At 64.2% G+C, this 15,940-nt stretch overlaps 1 protein-coding gene and 1 long non-coding RNA gene across 14 annotated transcripts in view, besides 4 other annotated features; one reads left to right on the plus strand and one right to left on the minus strand.

The window, feature by feature from the left end:
- Positions 1–15,940, minus strand: part of MEGF6 (multiple EGF like domains 6) — a 136,836-nt gene that overhangs the window by 49,224 nt on the left and 71,672 nt on the right. The gene's annotated exons all lie outside the window — the stretch shown is intronic.
- Positions 5,905–6,556: an enhancer, noted in NCBI's record as "H3K27ac-H3K4me1 hESC enhancer chr1:3459643-3460294 (GRCh37/hg19 assembly coordinates)". NCBI's record gives its function as "activates a minimal SCP1, AML or CMV promoter by ChIP-STARR-seq in primed H9 embryonic stem cells {active_cell/tissue: H9 hESC(primed)}" and the evidence as "EXISTENCE:reporter gene assay evidence [ECO:0000049][PMID:30033119]".
- Positions 6,557–7,210: an enhancer, noted in NCBI's record as "H3K27ac-H3K4me1 hESC enhancer chr1:3460295-3460948 (GRCh37/hg19 assembly coordinates)". NCBI's record gives its function as "activates a minimal SCP1, AML or CMV promoter by ChIP-STARR-seq in naive and primed H9 embryonic stem cells {active_cell/tissue: H9 hESC(naive and primed)}" and the evidence as "EXISTENCE:reporter gene assay evidence [ECO:0000049][PMID:30033119]".
- Positions 8,717–8,917: a silencer, noted in NCBI's record as "peak19 fragment used in MPRA reporter construct". NCBI's record gives its function as "represses an SCP1 promoter by STARR-seq MPRAs in K562 erythroleukemia cells {active_cell/tissue: K562}" and the evidence as "EXISTENCE:reporter gene assay evidence [ECO:0000049][PMID:32103011]".
- Positions 10,223–10,861: an enhancer, noted in NCBI's record as "H3K27ac-H3K4me1 hESC enhancer chr1:3463961-3464599 (GRCh37/hg19 assembly coordinates)". NCBI's record gives its function as "activates a minimal SCP1, AML or CMV promoter by ChIP-STARR-seq in naive H9 embryonic stem cells {active_cell/tissue: H9 hESC(naive)}" and the evidence as "EXISTENCE:reporter gene assay evidence [ECO:0000049][PMID:30033119]".
- Positions 11,306–13,398, plus strand: LOC105378608 (uncharacterized). The gene is made up of 3 exons (XR_946886.3): positions 11,306–12,234; positions 12,564–12,617; positions 13,079–13,398. It is a non-coding gene; the product is annotated as an uncharacterized LOC105378608 (long non-coding RNA).

The following is a 15,940-nucleotide window of genomic DNA, read 5'->3' on the forward strand; positions in this document are numbered from 1 at the left end:
CAAGGGGGCCAAGGCCCCAGGCAGCCCAGTGCCCAGCCCAGTCTACCTCCTCAGCGGGCAATCTCCCACCTAGCCAGGCCCCTGGGGATGGCATCACAGACCCAGCACCTGGCATGAAACAGGGGGAAGGAGCTAAGCCCTTGGCTGGTGGCGGGGGGTTGAGGGTATGAGAGAAAGGAGTGACACTCAGAGAAGCTACCGGGAGCCACGGCCCATAGTCCTGACCGAGGTGGCCATGTTGCAGGGAGAAGGTTACAGGCCCAGCAGGCACCCAGGTGGAGCGGCGATCACCACCGCCCACAACTACCTGTGTGTGCTCTGTGTGCCAGGCCAGGGGTGCTCCTAGGTGGGCAGATGGACCCTGAACGAGTGGCCGGGGGGCACCGGGCCCTGGGCTCTGCCCTCACGGACACCTGCAGCTCACTCTTCCCCGCTCCCACGGAAGGCGGGAGAAGGCGGGTGTGGCCACATGAGCAGAGGGCACAGGCATCACTTCCGGCCATGACATTTAAAAGCAAGTGTGAGATTCTTGGTCCTCTCATCCCACCCCTGCCCTGGGCACACGCATTGGTAAGGGGACCTGGCCTGGGGTCTGGATGGGATGATGGGGTGGGCCATGGACACTGGAAGGTAAGGGCGTGTCCCCCGCAAAAGTGCTGGTCCATGCACAGGTGGAGACCATCCCAGCTAATGCAGGGAGAGGGTGGAGATGGGTGGCCTGGGAGGGGCTGGGACCAGGCTTGGAGTGGGGGAAAGGAGCCACCCAGAGCAGCAAGGGGCACAGGGCTGCAAGGACAGGGCAGTGGTCAGTGTGCACCTGCTGGCCCCCACTGCAGACAGCATGGCCCAGAAGGTACTAGAAGGAGGCCACTCTCAAGCTTCTCTTTAATCTGCCTTCGTGGGCTCAAGGCTCCTAAGCCCCAAAGCCATCCCATGCCACCCCGCCCCTGCAAGTGGCACGTGGATCTGCCTGGCGGTTTCCAACCGTTGACCTCCAGAGCCCAGCCCAGAGCAGGAGGTCCATTTGTGGTCTGGGGTCTCACACAGTCCAAGCTGCCTCCCTGCGGAGACAGAGCAGACCGGCCTCCCCAGCGTTCCTCGCACCCCTTCTCCCACTGTCGCCACCACAGAGCTTCTATCAGGAGCAGGGGGGGCCCCCACCCGGCCTCAGAGCACACAGGGCCTGGCAGGGGCCTCCCCGAACCATTCCAATGTCAGCCTCATGGTAAACCCATTACCCTGTCTCCACTCCTCGCCCAAGCCAAAGGAAGGAAAATTGAAACCACCGCTGTTTCCGCGAGCCCAGCTGCCATTCCTGACTGCAGCTGTCCCTGGCTGGGGCCAGGCAGAAACAGGGGGGAGCCCCCTTCTCTTGTACACACCAGCCCCCAGGTGAGCCCACGATGGAGTGGTCCTGTCTCCTGGCTCTGAGGGAGGCATCAGACTCCCAGAGCAGCCCCCGAGAGCCTGAGGCCTGGTCTGTCCCCGTGAGGCTCTGCTGCCGGCCAGCAGAGCATGTGCCTGTGTGTGTGTGTGTGTGTGTGTGTGTGTGTGTGTGTGTGTGTGTGTGTCCGCGCTGTCTGTGGGTTCTCTGTTACCAGGCTCTTTCCCACCCAGCTGTGCGAGGCCCGGGGGCACCTGAGCCCTCGAGGGCTGACACAGCACCCGCTGGGGATGTAGCCCCCAGGCAAGGCCAGCCCCACGCCCCGGGGCCCAGACTCTTGCTGGGACATCAGAGCTGCCAGGGGAGCGGAGAATGCAGACAGGCAAGAGGATGCCCCAGGTCTCACACTGTACTCAGAGGAGTGATCCGGGAGGCTTCCTGGAGGAGGTGGCACTCAGCTGGCCTTTGGACATGACATTTTCAGGGACATGAACAGGCCTCAGTGGGGTCAAGAGCCCAGTAGGATCCCAGGGGGTGAGGGGTAGAGGATCAGGGAAAGGCCTGGGCCGAATCCAGTGATCAAGGGTGCCCTGGGGAAGAGATGGGGCGTGGTGGGGAGGCGGCCCAGGGCACCGGGTCTAAGGTGCAGTGTCACTACAGACCCAAGGCCCAGAGATGAGCAGGGGCCAGGGACACAGGCAGCAGCGGCCTCCCATCAGGAGGCTGGCCCCCGGACAGAAAGGCCAGGCAGGGCCAGCAGAGATGCATGGGGGAGGGGCCGGGGTGGCTGTGGGAGATAAAAGTAGAGGGAACACGACGGGAGAGGGGGAGGCTCAGGGGGCTCAGCGGGTCTCTCCTTCCTAGGAACACGGCCCCACCTGCACACGCCTGGCTCAGCACCTCGGCCCTGCCAGGAGGGAATGGTGGGTTCCACTCTTAGGAGGCACAGGGGGAACGTGACTTGGCCCGGGTCATGCAGGAGGCACCTGCCCTCCCGAGGCATCCGCAGTTCTGAGAGTTCACAGCCCCTGACTCTGGGGCACAATCGCCCCAACCTCCTCATGAGTAGCCCCTGGGAAACCAAGCTGGGGCCACTGGGGCTTCCGGGAGGACTGGAGAAAAGTGGCTACCTGGGCGCCTCGGTTTCCCCAGCCCAGGAGGCCCTTGGCTTGGTGACAGAAGCTTCTAGGACAAGGGCAAGGCCTTGCCTGAAGCATCCACTGGTCACCTTCCCAGGCCCAGGCTTATCTTCCCAACAGATGGCTCCCGGGCCAGGCCAGGGTCCCAGGGTGCGCTGAGCTTTGCCATGTGAAGGTGTCCACTGAGCCTCCCCAAGCTCCAAGTCTGAGGACTGCAGCCTGCGAGAGTTACGCAGGCCCCCGGGGTCGCACCTGTCCAGCATCGAGGCTGGGATCCAAACCCAGGCCTTCTGGGCTGCTGCCTAAACCCACCAGCCCTTCAGCCCTCCGTGTTTATCTGGAGCACGGCCACAGATGCCTGCAGGCTGCCCAGCTCGGGGTGTCCTCCAGGAAACTGCCCCAGCGTCCTGGTTCTAGGCAGTCAGAGAAAGCCTCTTGTCTTTCTGTTGCTGGGCTGGCTCTCACCGCTGACGCTGAAGGCTATTATTTTCCCGGCTTGGCCTTAACTGAGAACGTGCCTGCCAGGGTGTGCTCATTAGAGTCGGAAATGAAAGCTTTTCACTCGCAGCGCCTCGGACGGAGCAGGCCTCTGACCACAGACGCCCTGTCGGAAATGCTGCCATCCTGCCTGGAAGGAACACACCTTGCAGCCGGGTTTCCCGCTGCACTGGGAAGACAGCCAGCTGAAGAATGTTGGCCTGGGGAGGCCCAGATTCAGCCACCCACAGGAACGTGGCCCCAGCTTTGCAACCGGAAGGCCCAGGTTCAGGCCTGGGCTCCAGGGCCCATGGGCGAGGGATGCTGAGGCCTCACCACACCTCCATCTCTTTCCCTGCGAGGGCAGCCTTCCCCACAGCTGTGTTTGCTTGTTCACTCCTGCTGCTCCTACAGGACGCCTTAGTCTGGGTAATTTACAAACCCCTGGATGTATGTCTTACAGCTCCAGAGGCTGGGAAGTCCAAGATCCAGGCACGGCAGACCAGCCCTCTGGATCCTCCAGGGCAGCTTCTCAGGGCAGCTTCACAGGGCAGAAAGGGAACCACTCCCTCCGATCTTTTCTGGGGCAGTCATCCCATTCCCCACGGCAGAGCCTTCCTGGCCTCCTCACTGCCTACGAGGCCCCACCTCTTCACACCATCACACTGGGGAGTCCACTCGAACGCAGGAATTTTGCAGGGACACCGACATTCAGGTCGCGGCACCAGATGTTTGTGGAATACCCACTAAGGGCTGGGCGCTTCTGGCATGGGGACTGGGAATGAGTAAGAAGCCTCTTCCACATCCAGAGAAGCCACCAGCTAGAAAGGGGAGATGGCATCCTGGGGCCAAACAGTCAGCAGCCCAGGTGTCAGGGCGGGGTGGGGCCAGGCGCAGGCTGGGGCCCTGGACTTCAAAGGGCTCTGGGCACCTGTCCCCTCTGCCACCCTCCAGCTCTGACTCCGCAAATGCTCCTGCGCCCTCTGGGCCTCTTGCTCCATTCTCTAAATCCCCCATGGCACTGCCCCGTGGGGGGCCTCAGCACTGAGCGTCACAGAGCGGGGCTGCCGCCCAGGCTTGGCATGGAGTGTGGGTCGCACAGGGCTTGCGGAGGCTTTCGGCCACCATGACCACTCTTCCGGTTCAGCAAGAGCACATCGTCCCAGGAAGCAACAAAGTCCTGGAAGCATTAAAGCCTCCCCAGGAGACTCCCGTGGAAATGCCGTTCTCCTGGGTGGAGGCCCTGCCATGGGTGGGACAAAGTGTTGCTCCCACAGGAAGGTCAGAGAAAAAGCTCCAGCACCAAGGGGCTCATGGAGTGCAGGCGGACATGCGGGCACCTGGCCTGGGTGCCAGGACCAGGGTCCAAATCAGGCCCCCTTGCCCACTCGTTTCTCCCGTGCCTGGGCTCCGCGGGAGAGGCACAGCTGGCCCGAGGGGGGCAGCCGGTCAGCGCCCAGGCTTCCTAGCCCGCAGCCCTCGGTCACTTCCCACATGCCTTCCTCTCCCTGGGGACAGTGGGAACCTGGCAGTGCCCTCAGGCAGCAGGCAAGGGTGTGAAAGGCCGAGCCCACAGTGGCAGCAGAGAGTGGGCGGGGATGGGTGGGAAGGGCAGAGCGACAGACTCCCGGGCACAGGGGCTCCCTGGGGGCACCGTGGGGGGAGTCTCTGGTGGTCCCTGCTACCCTGAGCTCACCCCCTTACAGCAGGTCCCTTTGCTCTTGAGAAGGGTGGCATCCCACAGAGCCCACCCGCGTCCCACAGACACTCCGATGAAAACCCAGCTCCACCCTGGAAGCCCCCGCGGCCAAGTAGCAGCTGAGAGCCGGGTCCGGCACCGAGAAGGAAGAGCTGCCACTTCCACCAGAGAAGGCGCCTGCTTCCGCCCAGACCCGGCCTGGCCGCCTCCCCCAACCCCCGGCTGCCCCGTTTCCCGTGATCCGTCCTTATCTCCTGGAAGGAGGGGTCAGCCGGGGTGGGAGCAGCACAGTGTCGGGGCTGAATCCAGCCCCAGTGTGGGAAGGCAGCCCTCGGGCCTGGATGGGTGGGGTCCACCCGGCCCTGGAGGCCAAAGGCAGCACTGCTTCCTCCTTCTGAACAGCACAGAACACCTCTCCCCATTACATTGTCACTGTGGTCTTCCAGCCAAACCATGGGCTTAATGCGAGGGTTGGACCCATTTTATAGGTGGGAATGTTCACAGGACTGAACTCCAACCCGGCTGGCAGTGGAGGGAGGAAGCTGGGCTTGCATGGACACCTGCCAGGGGTCCCCAGGCCTGGATGTAGGGTCCTGGCCGCCCCCCACTCAGCCTGATGTGGGATCCTGGTCCCCGAGGACCATGGTCAAGAGGAGGCAGAGGAAGGCAGGTGGAGAGAGTGGGGAGCCCAGGCCGAGGGGAAGATGGGCCACACGAGTGGGGCAGCTCTCCTCTCTGTCCGGGGTTTCTCTGCAGCCCGGGCCGTGGGCCCCGAGCATTTTCCCCAAAACCTCTAGATTGCTGTAAGGGCTGAGAGCAGGACTTGCCGCATCTTACAGAGAGAGACTGGAGTTCAGAGTGGCAGAGCTACTCGCCCAAGACCACGCAATAAGGAGCTAAGGGAAGTTCAAACCTGGCCCTCGCTGACACCAACGGCTGGTTCTGTGGTGGCATCCTCAAAGTGGCTTCCCTGGAAGGCCTGGGCCATCCTGGAGGTGAGCTCGGGGCCAGGCAGCCCGGGCAGGAGCTCTACAGAGGAGCCTGAATTCCTCCCCAGGGCCTGCCAGCTCTGGCACGCACAGGCCTGAGCCCACCTGCCCAGGGGCCTGGGAGGAGGGTGGGCACATGTCAGAGGCCGTGCCCTGCCCAGGAAATGGCAGAAGCAGTGGCAGGCACCCAGCCTCCCCTGGGAGATGAGCCCACTCCGGACTGCCCAGCCCAGCAGAGCAGAGCTCAGCTCCTGCCCCAGGCCAGTCTCCCAGAACATGACAAACACACTGGCCTGGAGACGCTCCCAGGGCCGGGGCACCCTGAGGCCAGTCTCCTGTGCCAGCACTCACTCAGAGCTTGATGGGGCCGAGTCATCACTGCAAGCAGGTTCCGGGCCCACCCCATCAACTTGGCACACACTGCCCTGCCAGGGGTCCCCAGGCCCTGCGGGTGACCAAGCAACGCGGCCCTTCCCTGCTCTGAGCAGCCCGAACCCTGCGTTCGTGCTCACTCTCGGCTGCCGGCACCCCCTGAGCCATGCGCTCACTCACTCGCTCGGCAAGACTACATTTTTGGGGGAGGCTGGGCTGGCAGAGGGACAGAGAAAACACAGCAGGCTCCTGGCCTTTGGCAGGGCCCCCTCGGCCACACGGTGACTCGGAGCCCTAGCCATCCCAAACACGCAGAGCTGGGGGTGAGAACCCCCGGGCGGGAGGCGGGGCGAGGCCAGGGACGGGGCAGGAGAGGAAGCGTCGGCACTGCTGGGAGGCAGAGTCTGTGGCCCGGTCCCTGGCCGAGATGCCGTCTAGCCTCCTGGCTGGCCCCGGGTCATCCGGTCCACGCCTCTGCCTCTGGCCAGCTCTGCCAGATGGCAAAGACCTTTTCTGTCCATAGGGACCCCTGGCAGAGAGATTCCAACACCTCCTGAAGGGATACGGGTCGAGGCCCGGGCCTAATGTGTTTGCCGTCACCATGCTGGGCTCTGCAGTGTCTGTCATGGAGTTGACATTCCAGAGGCACACCACCTGCCGTGCCTGGACGCCCAGCCCGCGTCAGCCCTGGAGGGGCATAAACACGGCCGGCAGCCCCAGAGCACGAATCAGGAGACCCCCGGCTCTGGCCATGGGCAGTGGGAAGCCCATTCACCACCCGGAGCCGCTCTATCGCGGGAGAGCCTCTGCGCGCCGCACCACTCGCTGACACAGGAGGCGGGAGTGTGGTCAGTCTGTCTTCCGGGGCCTGACACACACCTGCCAGGGACCCCATTACAGGGCCCACCACCACCCCAGGCTGAGAGAGACACGGAAGGTCCAAGCATCAGGCTAACCCTCTCCCCCCAGCGTCGCAGCGGCATCAGGCTAACCCTCTCCCCCCAGCATCGCAGCGGCATCAGGCTAACCCTCTCCCCTCAGCATCACAGCAGCCAGCCTGACCAGGCTCTGGAGCCCACAGACCTGAACAGGGGCTCCTGGGGCTGCAGGGCGGCACCTGTCCCCTCTGCCCCCAGCACCGTCTGCACCCTGTAACAGGTGCTCTCAACCCCGGAGCACAGCCTTTGTGCAGGGGCCCTCGGGGGCCTCTCCGTTGGCTTCCCTGGGCTGGCCTGGGTCAGTGGAGCTCCTCCTAGGAGGGACCCCCACGCAGCATCCTGGGTCACCTCAAGAGCCTGCCCTCATGCAGGGGCTGCTGGAACAGGCCCCGACACCAGCAGACGCTGGCCAGCCTGGGGAGTGCTCCACACACCGCAGCCCTGGAGCATCGGGAACCTGCCAGGCAGCCCCCAGCAGGGTCTTGGGCCTCTCACTCTGCTCTGCCTGGTGTTCCCAGCCACAGGCACTGAGACCACACCATGCCCCACCAAGGCCCGGCACCAGCCCTGGCCTGGTAGACCCAGGGCTTCCCACACACCATCGAGTGGGGTTTCAGACCCCACGCAGCAACTGGGGAGACAAGCGGGCTTGGGCCGGGGAACAGCGGGGCAGAGGAGCCCATCTGGAGCTGGGGGCAGGGTGGCCGAGGGGGCAGGTGGCACTCAGGGCTGGGTCCAGGCTGACCTCGGGAGGATGACTCGGGTCACCGGACAGTGACCCGCCCTTTGCTCCCTACCCCAGCTGGGTGAGCACCCCCACTTTAAAGGGGGGCATATACAAGGATCTTGGGGGAGAAGGAAGCTGCCTGTGTCCCATGGCTTGGCGGCGGGGCCAGCCCTCTCCCTAGGACACACAGGCCCCCACCCCATCAGTTACAACAGGGGAGTTTCAGGGGCCGGGGAAGGTGCCTGTGTCCGCTGCGGGTCTTCGTGCTGCCTCCGCAGGGACTCCTAGCCCCAGGGACACCAGCCCGAGAGGGGTGCACTTCTTCCCCAGGGTTGAGGTGAAATCGGTTCAGCACAGGCCCCCCAGAATGCCAGAGACCAGGTAGGGGGGTCTGGTCTTCACCCTGACACCTCAGTCCCTGCCAGTGAGCAGCCCTGGGTGGGGGCTGAGTGGACCCTTCTGAGGGACTGCACAGGCAGCCGCAGGGGGGAAAATGTAAGCTGTCCCGCGCCTCCTGCGTCCCACCTGGGACAGGCTCCTCGGTGGGTCGGAACCTCCAGCTCCAACGTGTGGAGGTGGCCAAGTCCTGGGGCCATCCCATACCTGGAGTGGACAAGGGTGGGGGCCCTGCAGGAGAGAAGGCATAGCAGCTGGGCCCCTCCTCATCACGGGTCTGGGAGGGGGTTCTCCTCCCCTCATCCTGCCCAACTCCACCTGCACCTGGCTCATCCTGGAGCCTCTGGGGCTTTCCGCCACCCCAGTGGAGCCCCTTTCACAGAAACCAAGGCAAGAGCCAGAATGGAGCGGGGGTCCGGGAGCTGGCGGGGACTGTGCCACAGGTGGAGCCATCCTCCCTCCTCACTGAGCCGGGGCTCCCAAGCCTCCCAGGCTCCGCGGGTCACAGAAGCTTCTCCCCTCCCCCAGCCTCCCGCTGGCCACAAGCACAGGCTGGAGAGGAGCACACAGAATCTGTTTCTAGAACATCCCAGACAGAGCAGATGCCCCTCCCACCTCCCCTGACCCCAAGTCCAGCAGGCTGGCCCCTGCCCCCCTCCAAACGGCTCGCAGCTGGACAGCTGGAGACAGCGTTGCGTTTGGCAAGGGAAGTTCTGGGAGATGATGACAGTAAGTGTCTGACCGGGACAGCAGAGCAGAGGCCTGAGGACTCTCCCAGGGGCCAGGCTGCCCAGATCCACCCCAGGGTCAGATGCCAGGGCAGAGGCTGGAGCAGGCAAAGGAGTGTGAGTGGGAGATGGGGACAGCTTGGGGCCCCCACTGCCACCCTCCTCGGCCTCCTCCCCCACCTCAATCCTAATCTGTTCTCATCTCTCCCAGTGGGTTTTCCTTCTGTCTGTCCTTGACTTTGCTGCCAGCCTGCCAGCCATGGTGGGGCTGAGCTACAGGGTCTGCTTAGAGCTCGCAAACGCTTCTAGCCCCAGGTCTTGCCTGAGCCATCCCTGCCCGCCCCTCCTTCCTCCTGCATGGCCCCCAAGGTGCCTCCCACCAACACCAGGTCCTCTGAGTCCCCACAGAGGCAATGTCAGGAGTGGGGAGCGAGTTGGGTGAGGAGTACCCCGAGTGGAGCCCTTGGAGCAGCCTGTGGGCCAGGAAGGAGGGTGCCAGGGAGGGCACCGAGGCGGGGTGGCAGTGGGCTGGGAAGGGGGCTGCCAGGGAGGCCGCTGAGGCGGGGTGGCAGTGGGCTGGGAAGGAGGGTGCCAGGGAGGCCGAGGTGGGGTGGCAATGGGCTGGGAAGGGGGCTGCCAGGGAGGCCGAGGTGGGGTGGCAGTGGGCTGGGAAGGGGGCTGCCAAGGAGGACGCCAAGGCGGGGTGGCAGCGGGCTGGGAAGGAGGGTGCCAGGGAGGCCACCATGGCGGGGTGGCAATGGCCTGGGAAGGGGGCTGCCAGGGAGGCCGAGGTGGGGTGGCAGTGGGCTGGGAAGGGGGCGCCAGGGAGGCCGCCAAGGCAGGGTGGCAGTGGGCTGGGAAGGGGGCTGCCAGGCGGGGTGGCAGTGGGCTGGGAAGGGGGCTGCCAGGCGGGGTGGCAGTGGGCTGGGAAGGGAGGCCGAGGCAGGGTGGCAGTGGGCTGGGCCATGCCCTACCTTGGCAAGTCTCGCCATCACCCTGCAGCTGGTGGCTGGGGGGGGGCCAGCGGCAGTAGAAGCCCCCCACGGTGTCCCGGCACCGACCCGCACAGCCCCCGTTGGCGTTGGCACACTCACCCACATCTGCGAGGGGAGAAGCAGGTGAGGTGCCAGCCACGCGGCCACCTCCTCCCTCCAGCCTCGGCCCACCCGAGGCCTCAGAGGGATGAGGCTCAGGGCTCCCCACAGCACAGGGGACATTGTCCACCAGAACAGGCCCCGCAGGAGGGAGGCTGGGTGTGGAAACCCAGCAGCAGGGGAGCCGCACTGCAGAACGGGTCCCTCCCTCGCTCCCAGGGAAGGTGGCCTCTCCCCGGGCCTTCAGTGTGGTGTGGCTCTCAGGAGCAACATTTGGGTATAGCTTGGCAGAGGAGGTGGCCCTGCTCCCGTAAAGCAGCCACACCCTTTTTGTGAGTCCCCAGAGATCGGCTGCCGTGTGTGTTCCGGTCAAGCGGTCTGCCACAGCTGTGGGTTTTCAGGAAAAACCCGGCTTCCCTTGGCTCTGAGGCCAGGAGGAGTTTCACTGTCACCTGCACAGCCACTCCCCCTCCCGCCTTCGGACAGCCCCAGGCCCCATCCTCCCTTCCTGGCGCGTCTCTGGGGATCACGTGGCATCTGAGTTGGGCCTGGAGAGCAGGTTAGGAGCCCTGAACACCACATCAAGTTGCTGAGCCCAGCCTGCCAGGACCCAGAGCCCATGCCCTAGCCCGCCCTCCGTCTTTGCGGGTGCGGGAATGTGGCAGTTCTCCCGGGGTGCGCCTCTGCCTGGTTCAGGCAGCAGGACTTCCCCCGGGACTTGGTCCTGGGCAGAGGCAGCGTCACTGCCTCCCCACACAAGTGACTGGGCTGGTAGGAGCATCGAGGGAAGAAGGGAATCAAGTGACCTGCCTTGAGAAGGTGTGGGACCCAACTTGAGGTGACGCAGGGACCAGGCGCCTCTGCCCACCCACCCCTGCTGAACTGCACCATCCAAACTTCCAGGAATGTTCAGCCCCCTGTGCCCCCGCCTCTAGAGGCCAAAGACCAGGCCCTCCCCAGCTGCATGGGGATCGGAACCTGGAGGCAGGCTCAGAGCCAGTGGAGCCCCCAGCATGCTGAGGACGCAGATGGCCAGACGCCAGCCCAGCCCACAGGGTGCTGTTCCCAGAAGATGAGGCCGACCTTTCCCACCAGCACCCCAGACAGACGGAACACAGCGCGGGCCTTTCCGGACCTGAGCTGGCCCAAAGCTCCCCAGTGCCGGGGGCATTTCTCTCTGCACCTCCTCAGGACGGGCCCTGGAAGAGCCCCGGGCGGGGCCAAAGGCCTCGGGGCGGCCACAGTCCCATGAGAACGGGCCAAGCGGAATGCAGGCCAGCCGTCTCCGGACTGTTGGAATGCAGCTGTCAGCACAGCCCTGCGGAGGTCCATGGTGGGAATTTTTTGGGAATTCCTAGAGAGTTACACAGGGCGAGACGGAGGCTGGCCAAGGCCAGGGGTCAGAGCCAAGGTGCCCAGGGTCCCCTGTCTGCCTGGCCCCGACAGACTGCCCTGGCAGGCAAGCAGCAGCCCCTCCTCTGGTGTGGGGCAGGCACCCAAGCTCTGGGACCTGTCCTGACACTGGGGCCTTGAGGCCAGGTGGCTGGGAGGGCGGTGTCCAGGCAGGTGGGGCTGGACGCCAGATGAGCTTCCACACAGCTGCTGGCACAGCTGGGTCCCCAGCTTCCCAGGCCTGGAACACAGCTGGCCATGTGAGCACAGGTCCCCAGCACCGGGGCAGCCTCACAGCCACCCACCCCGACCCTGCTAGGCTCCACGGGGAAAGGAGCCCACTGCAGCTGGGGGCCTTCAGGGACCCCCCCACACCCACAGGAAAAGCCCCTTAGCCTGGCCTGGCACAGGGGCTGCAGGGTCTGGCACTCAGGACAGCCACCGCTGCCTGGTCACCCTCACTGAGGCTGCAATCGCCCCTTGTTCCCCCAAAGCCCCCAACCCCAGCATCTCCATGCTGGCTGGGACCCCGCCTTGGGTACCTGCGGGCGCCGCCTCCACCCCAGGCCGGGCTGAGCTCTAACATCCCCGTGGCTCCGCGCTGGGTGATCTGTCCCCAGCCAGACCATGCAAGCTCTGGTGGGGACTGGCCCCCCTAGTCTCGGGGCCCCCGTGCTCAGCCCAGAACAAGCCCACAAGGGCCGCAGGAGACCCTTGGTGAATGCTCAAGAAGCTGCAGGTGGACCGGCCACCAGGAGAAAAGCCAGAGCCCGACAAGGCAGCTGGGGCTCCCCCAACCCCTCAGGCTTGGGCTGGAACTCTGGGCACCACGCAGACTGATGCCCCATGGCCACAGGCAGACCAGGGCCCAGGACGGAGAAGTTCAGCTCCAGAAGCAGGTGACGGCTCCTCCCCAAAGCCAGCAGAAGCCTCTCTTTCCTCCAAAACCCAGGACCGGGGTGTTCAGGGCTCCAGTCTAGGCGAGAAGATGGGGGGCTGCCTGGGGGCTTCTGGGGGCACATGGTCATGCTCGGGTCTGGGCTGGCTGGCGGCAGGCACCCCGTTGGTTGACTGCATGCAGAAGGGTCCATCAATTCACCGAAGACACTGGCATGGGATATCCAGGGCGACTTGGCCCCGCTGCTCCCCACAGCTCACCCCGCTCTCTGGCCCCACAAGGGCTCCAGCTCGGGCTATGGGCGTCACTTATGGCCTGGAATTTACCTAGGCAACACTGCAGCCCAGGGAACCACCCGGAGGCTGACCAGCCTTCCCGTACAAGGTGAGTCTTGAGCAGGGGCCTCTCAAAGCCCAGCTACGTGGGCACCAGACAGGCCCCTTGCTCCAGCTTCTCCCAGGGATGATCCAAGCACAGGCACGGGTGGGCGGTCGAAGGTCAGAACCAGGCTAGGCTCTGAGTCTTCACCTGGAGACTCACAAAGGCTGCCCTCACCACTTCTCGCCAGCCCCAACCCAGGGGTCCCCGCTCTCCCCAGAGCTGAAGTGATCGTGGATGCCACCTGGTGAGTCCAGCCTGAAGGGTGGTGAGGGGAAGGCTCCATGCCCCCAGCCCTCCCCATCCCGGGAATTTTCTATCAGCAGAAAGTAACGGCTCCCGACACAAGACATACCCAGAGGCGCCACAGACCCAGCAGTCCCACCCCTAAGCACCTGCCCAAGATAAATAGAAACAGGGACTCAAACCACGGTGTGTGCACACGCTCACAGCAGACTTGTCCACAGCCATCAGAAAGGGGAGGCCACCCGGGTGCCCACCAGCGGGTGATGAAGACAGACATGGAGGACGACAGCGAGGAGGAACCTCAAACCTCGTGCTGTGTGAAAGGAGCCCATCTCGAGAGGTCACACAGTGTAGGATAGGGCGTACCAGCTGGCGGGTCTGGGGTCTCCTGGGAGGGTGAGGAAAATGTCTCGGAATGAGATAAAGGTGATGGCTGCATAGCACGATGAATGCACAAAGGGTCGCTATGTTTCAAAGGGGTTATTTTATGCAATGTGAATTTCACCTTCATTTAAGAAAAAAGAGAAAAACGTCATCCCAAGACTGGATTCTGCACCTCACTTCTCCAGCAGTTTTGATACAGAAAGAAGCGGTCGTGCCCAGGCCTCCGGGGTGCTCCGTGCCGGATCTGGCCCCATGCCAGGGGCCTAACTCAGCAGCAGTGACTGCAATGTCACAAGTGCCCAGCAGCCACCCAACCGGGGCAGGGCTCCGAAGACCCAGCCCTTGCAGCCGATCCAGCAAGCACAGGCTGCAGAGTGAGAACCCGAGGGGAGCAAGAGGGGGCCCACACCCCCACCGCCCGTGCACTCACCCTGGGGGAGCCAGTGTCCCCCGTGTGCTAGTCCATTGGCAGGAGACCCTAACGGGTGTGACAGTGGGGCTCTCAGATCAGCCGCCAGGTGTGGACAGGGCCAGGATCCGAGGCTCCAGCCGGCCAGGGCTGGGCAGCTGCCTGTGTGCCTTGGGGCCTCGGAGTGTGAGGCAGGTGAGGAAGAAGATGTGGATCCCAGCTCTGAGAGCCGGGCCCGCGTGGCCATGTGGCCAGGCAGCTCCCCGCTAGCGATGCCAGCCTCCTGGCCTATACCAGGCCAGATGCCCCACAGATGTGAGGCTGCCAGACCCAGCCCCCGTGGTGGTGAGACACCAGAGGCTCCGCTTGGGGGTGGCCCCGCCCCATGCAGGTGACAAAGTGTTTCCTAGGATCACACCTGGGGATGGAGCAGCTGGTGTCAGCCTGCTCCTGCGTGCAGACCCCAGGGGTCTCAGCCAGCATGAATCACTCTGGGAGAGGCTGCTGGGGACGACAGGACCTAAGGGGCCAAAGGGGTGGGATGTGGGGAGCCTCCACCAGGGGAAACTCTCGCCAAATTCCAAGTCAACGGGCAGCATCAGGCCCTGAGCCAATCCAGCTCCACACATCACTCTGGGCAGTGCCTCCCCTGGGACCAGGCACTGGCCATGTGGCCAATACAACCCCATAGCAGGCTGGCTGGAAACCCTCCCTGGCCAGACACAAGGTCAACACAGACCCAACACATGCTCCCAGGATGCGGTCCAGCTCCCACCCTCTCAGTGGTCACAGGCTGGCTCTGACTTATATTGCCACAGCCACAGGGGACAGGAGACAGCACCCCGCCAACCCTCCCCACACACCCCTCTGCCCAGACACACCACACTGCAGGGGAGCCCGAGATGGGGGAGCTGGATGGGGGGAGCTGGATGGGGGCATCCAGAAACCAGCAGGGCTGCGACTTCCATCAGGAAAACCAGCCACTCAGGTGATCACCCTGCCCGAGGCCACCCTCTGGGAGCCTCCGGCACTTGTAAAACCCCTGTCACCTCCCAATTCAAGCTTCCACGCAGAAGCCTGAGAGCTGAGCTCCCTCTGGTGCCTCTGTTCGACCAAGCCTTGCTGGGTGCCCAGGTGGGCCGTTCAGACATCAGCAATCCCAGCCCCTTGAACCACACTTGTCCCCAAGTCAACGTTACCATCAGCCCAGGCACGGGAGGGGACCCCTGCTCTGGACACGCCAAACTGTGGCTCAACTCTGGGTGCATTTTCTCACCCAACCCTCAGGACCCCAGCGGTGGCTCCCCTCAGGATTGCCACTCCACTGACGAGCACATAGCCTCCCTATGCCCGAGCCCCAGGCACAGAATGCAAACCTGGCCACAGAGGAGCCTTAGCACTCAACCCCGCCCACCAGGGCCAGCCTCCCAGGCAGGGCCTTCTCCCTGCTCCAGGCTGTGGGGACATGGCGAGGGCAGGTGTCCAGGCCCCCACAGGAACACAAGCTGCCTGGGGCTGCGCCTGATGCCAGGAGGGCAACAGGACTGGGGTCTAGGACAGAGCCAAGAAAGCGCTGAGGCATCCTGGTAAGACCACGCGTGGCGGCTCACGCCCGTAATCCCAGCACTCTGGGAGGCCCAGGCCGGAGGATCTATTGAGGCCAGGACTTTGAGACCAGCCTGGGCAACATATGAGATCCCGTCTCTACAAAAAATAACAAATTAGCTAGGTGTGGTGGCGCACGCCTGTCATCCCAGCTACTCGGAGGCTAAGGCAGGAGGATCGACGGCCTGAGCCCGGGAGTTCAAGGCTGCAGTACGGTATGGTCACACCACGGCACTCCAGCCTGGGTAGCAAAGCAAGATTCTGTCTCTAAAAAAAGAAAAGAAACCCTGGGAGGCTCCCTTGGAAATGAGGAGGCCACAGCCTGCCAGGGTGGCTTGAGGGAAAGGGCCGCTGTGCTCACCCACCGGGCCCAGACCCCCCACTTTTCTCTGCAGCCACCTTGCCCTCCAAGCCCAGCTGGGTCTTCCAGTCCCCCACCAGGTAAGCCTGCTGCTTCATCCCGAGGCCCCACCAGTGGACAGATCAGATGCTGCTGCCCAGGTCCCCCTCAGAGTTCAGGCTCAGTCCAAGGCCCAGGGCCCGGCCAGGCCCCAAGGACATCTTGAGAGGTGCCCAGCCCCTAATCCCCTCCAGACAGACCTAGCTGCCACTAGGGCTGGTGGCCAGGGGCCTCAAAGGTAACGCACAGCCCTGTTCTGAGGGTACAGGGAGGCCCCAAGCTCCG

Source organism: Homo sapiens, chromosome 1 (assembly GCF_000001405.40).
Source record: "Homo sapiens chromosome 1, GRCh38.p14 Primary Assembly".
NCBI classification, from domain to species: Eukaryota; Metazoa; Chordata; class Mammalia; order Primates; family Hominidae; genus Homo; species Homo sapiens.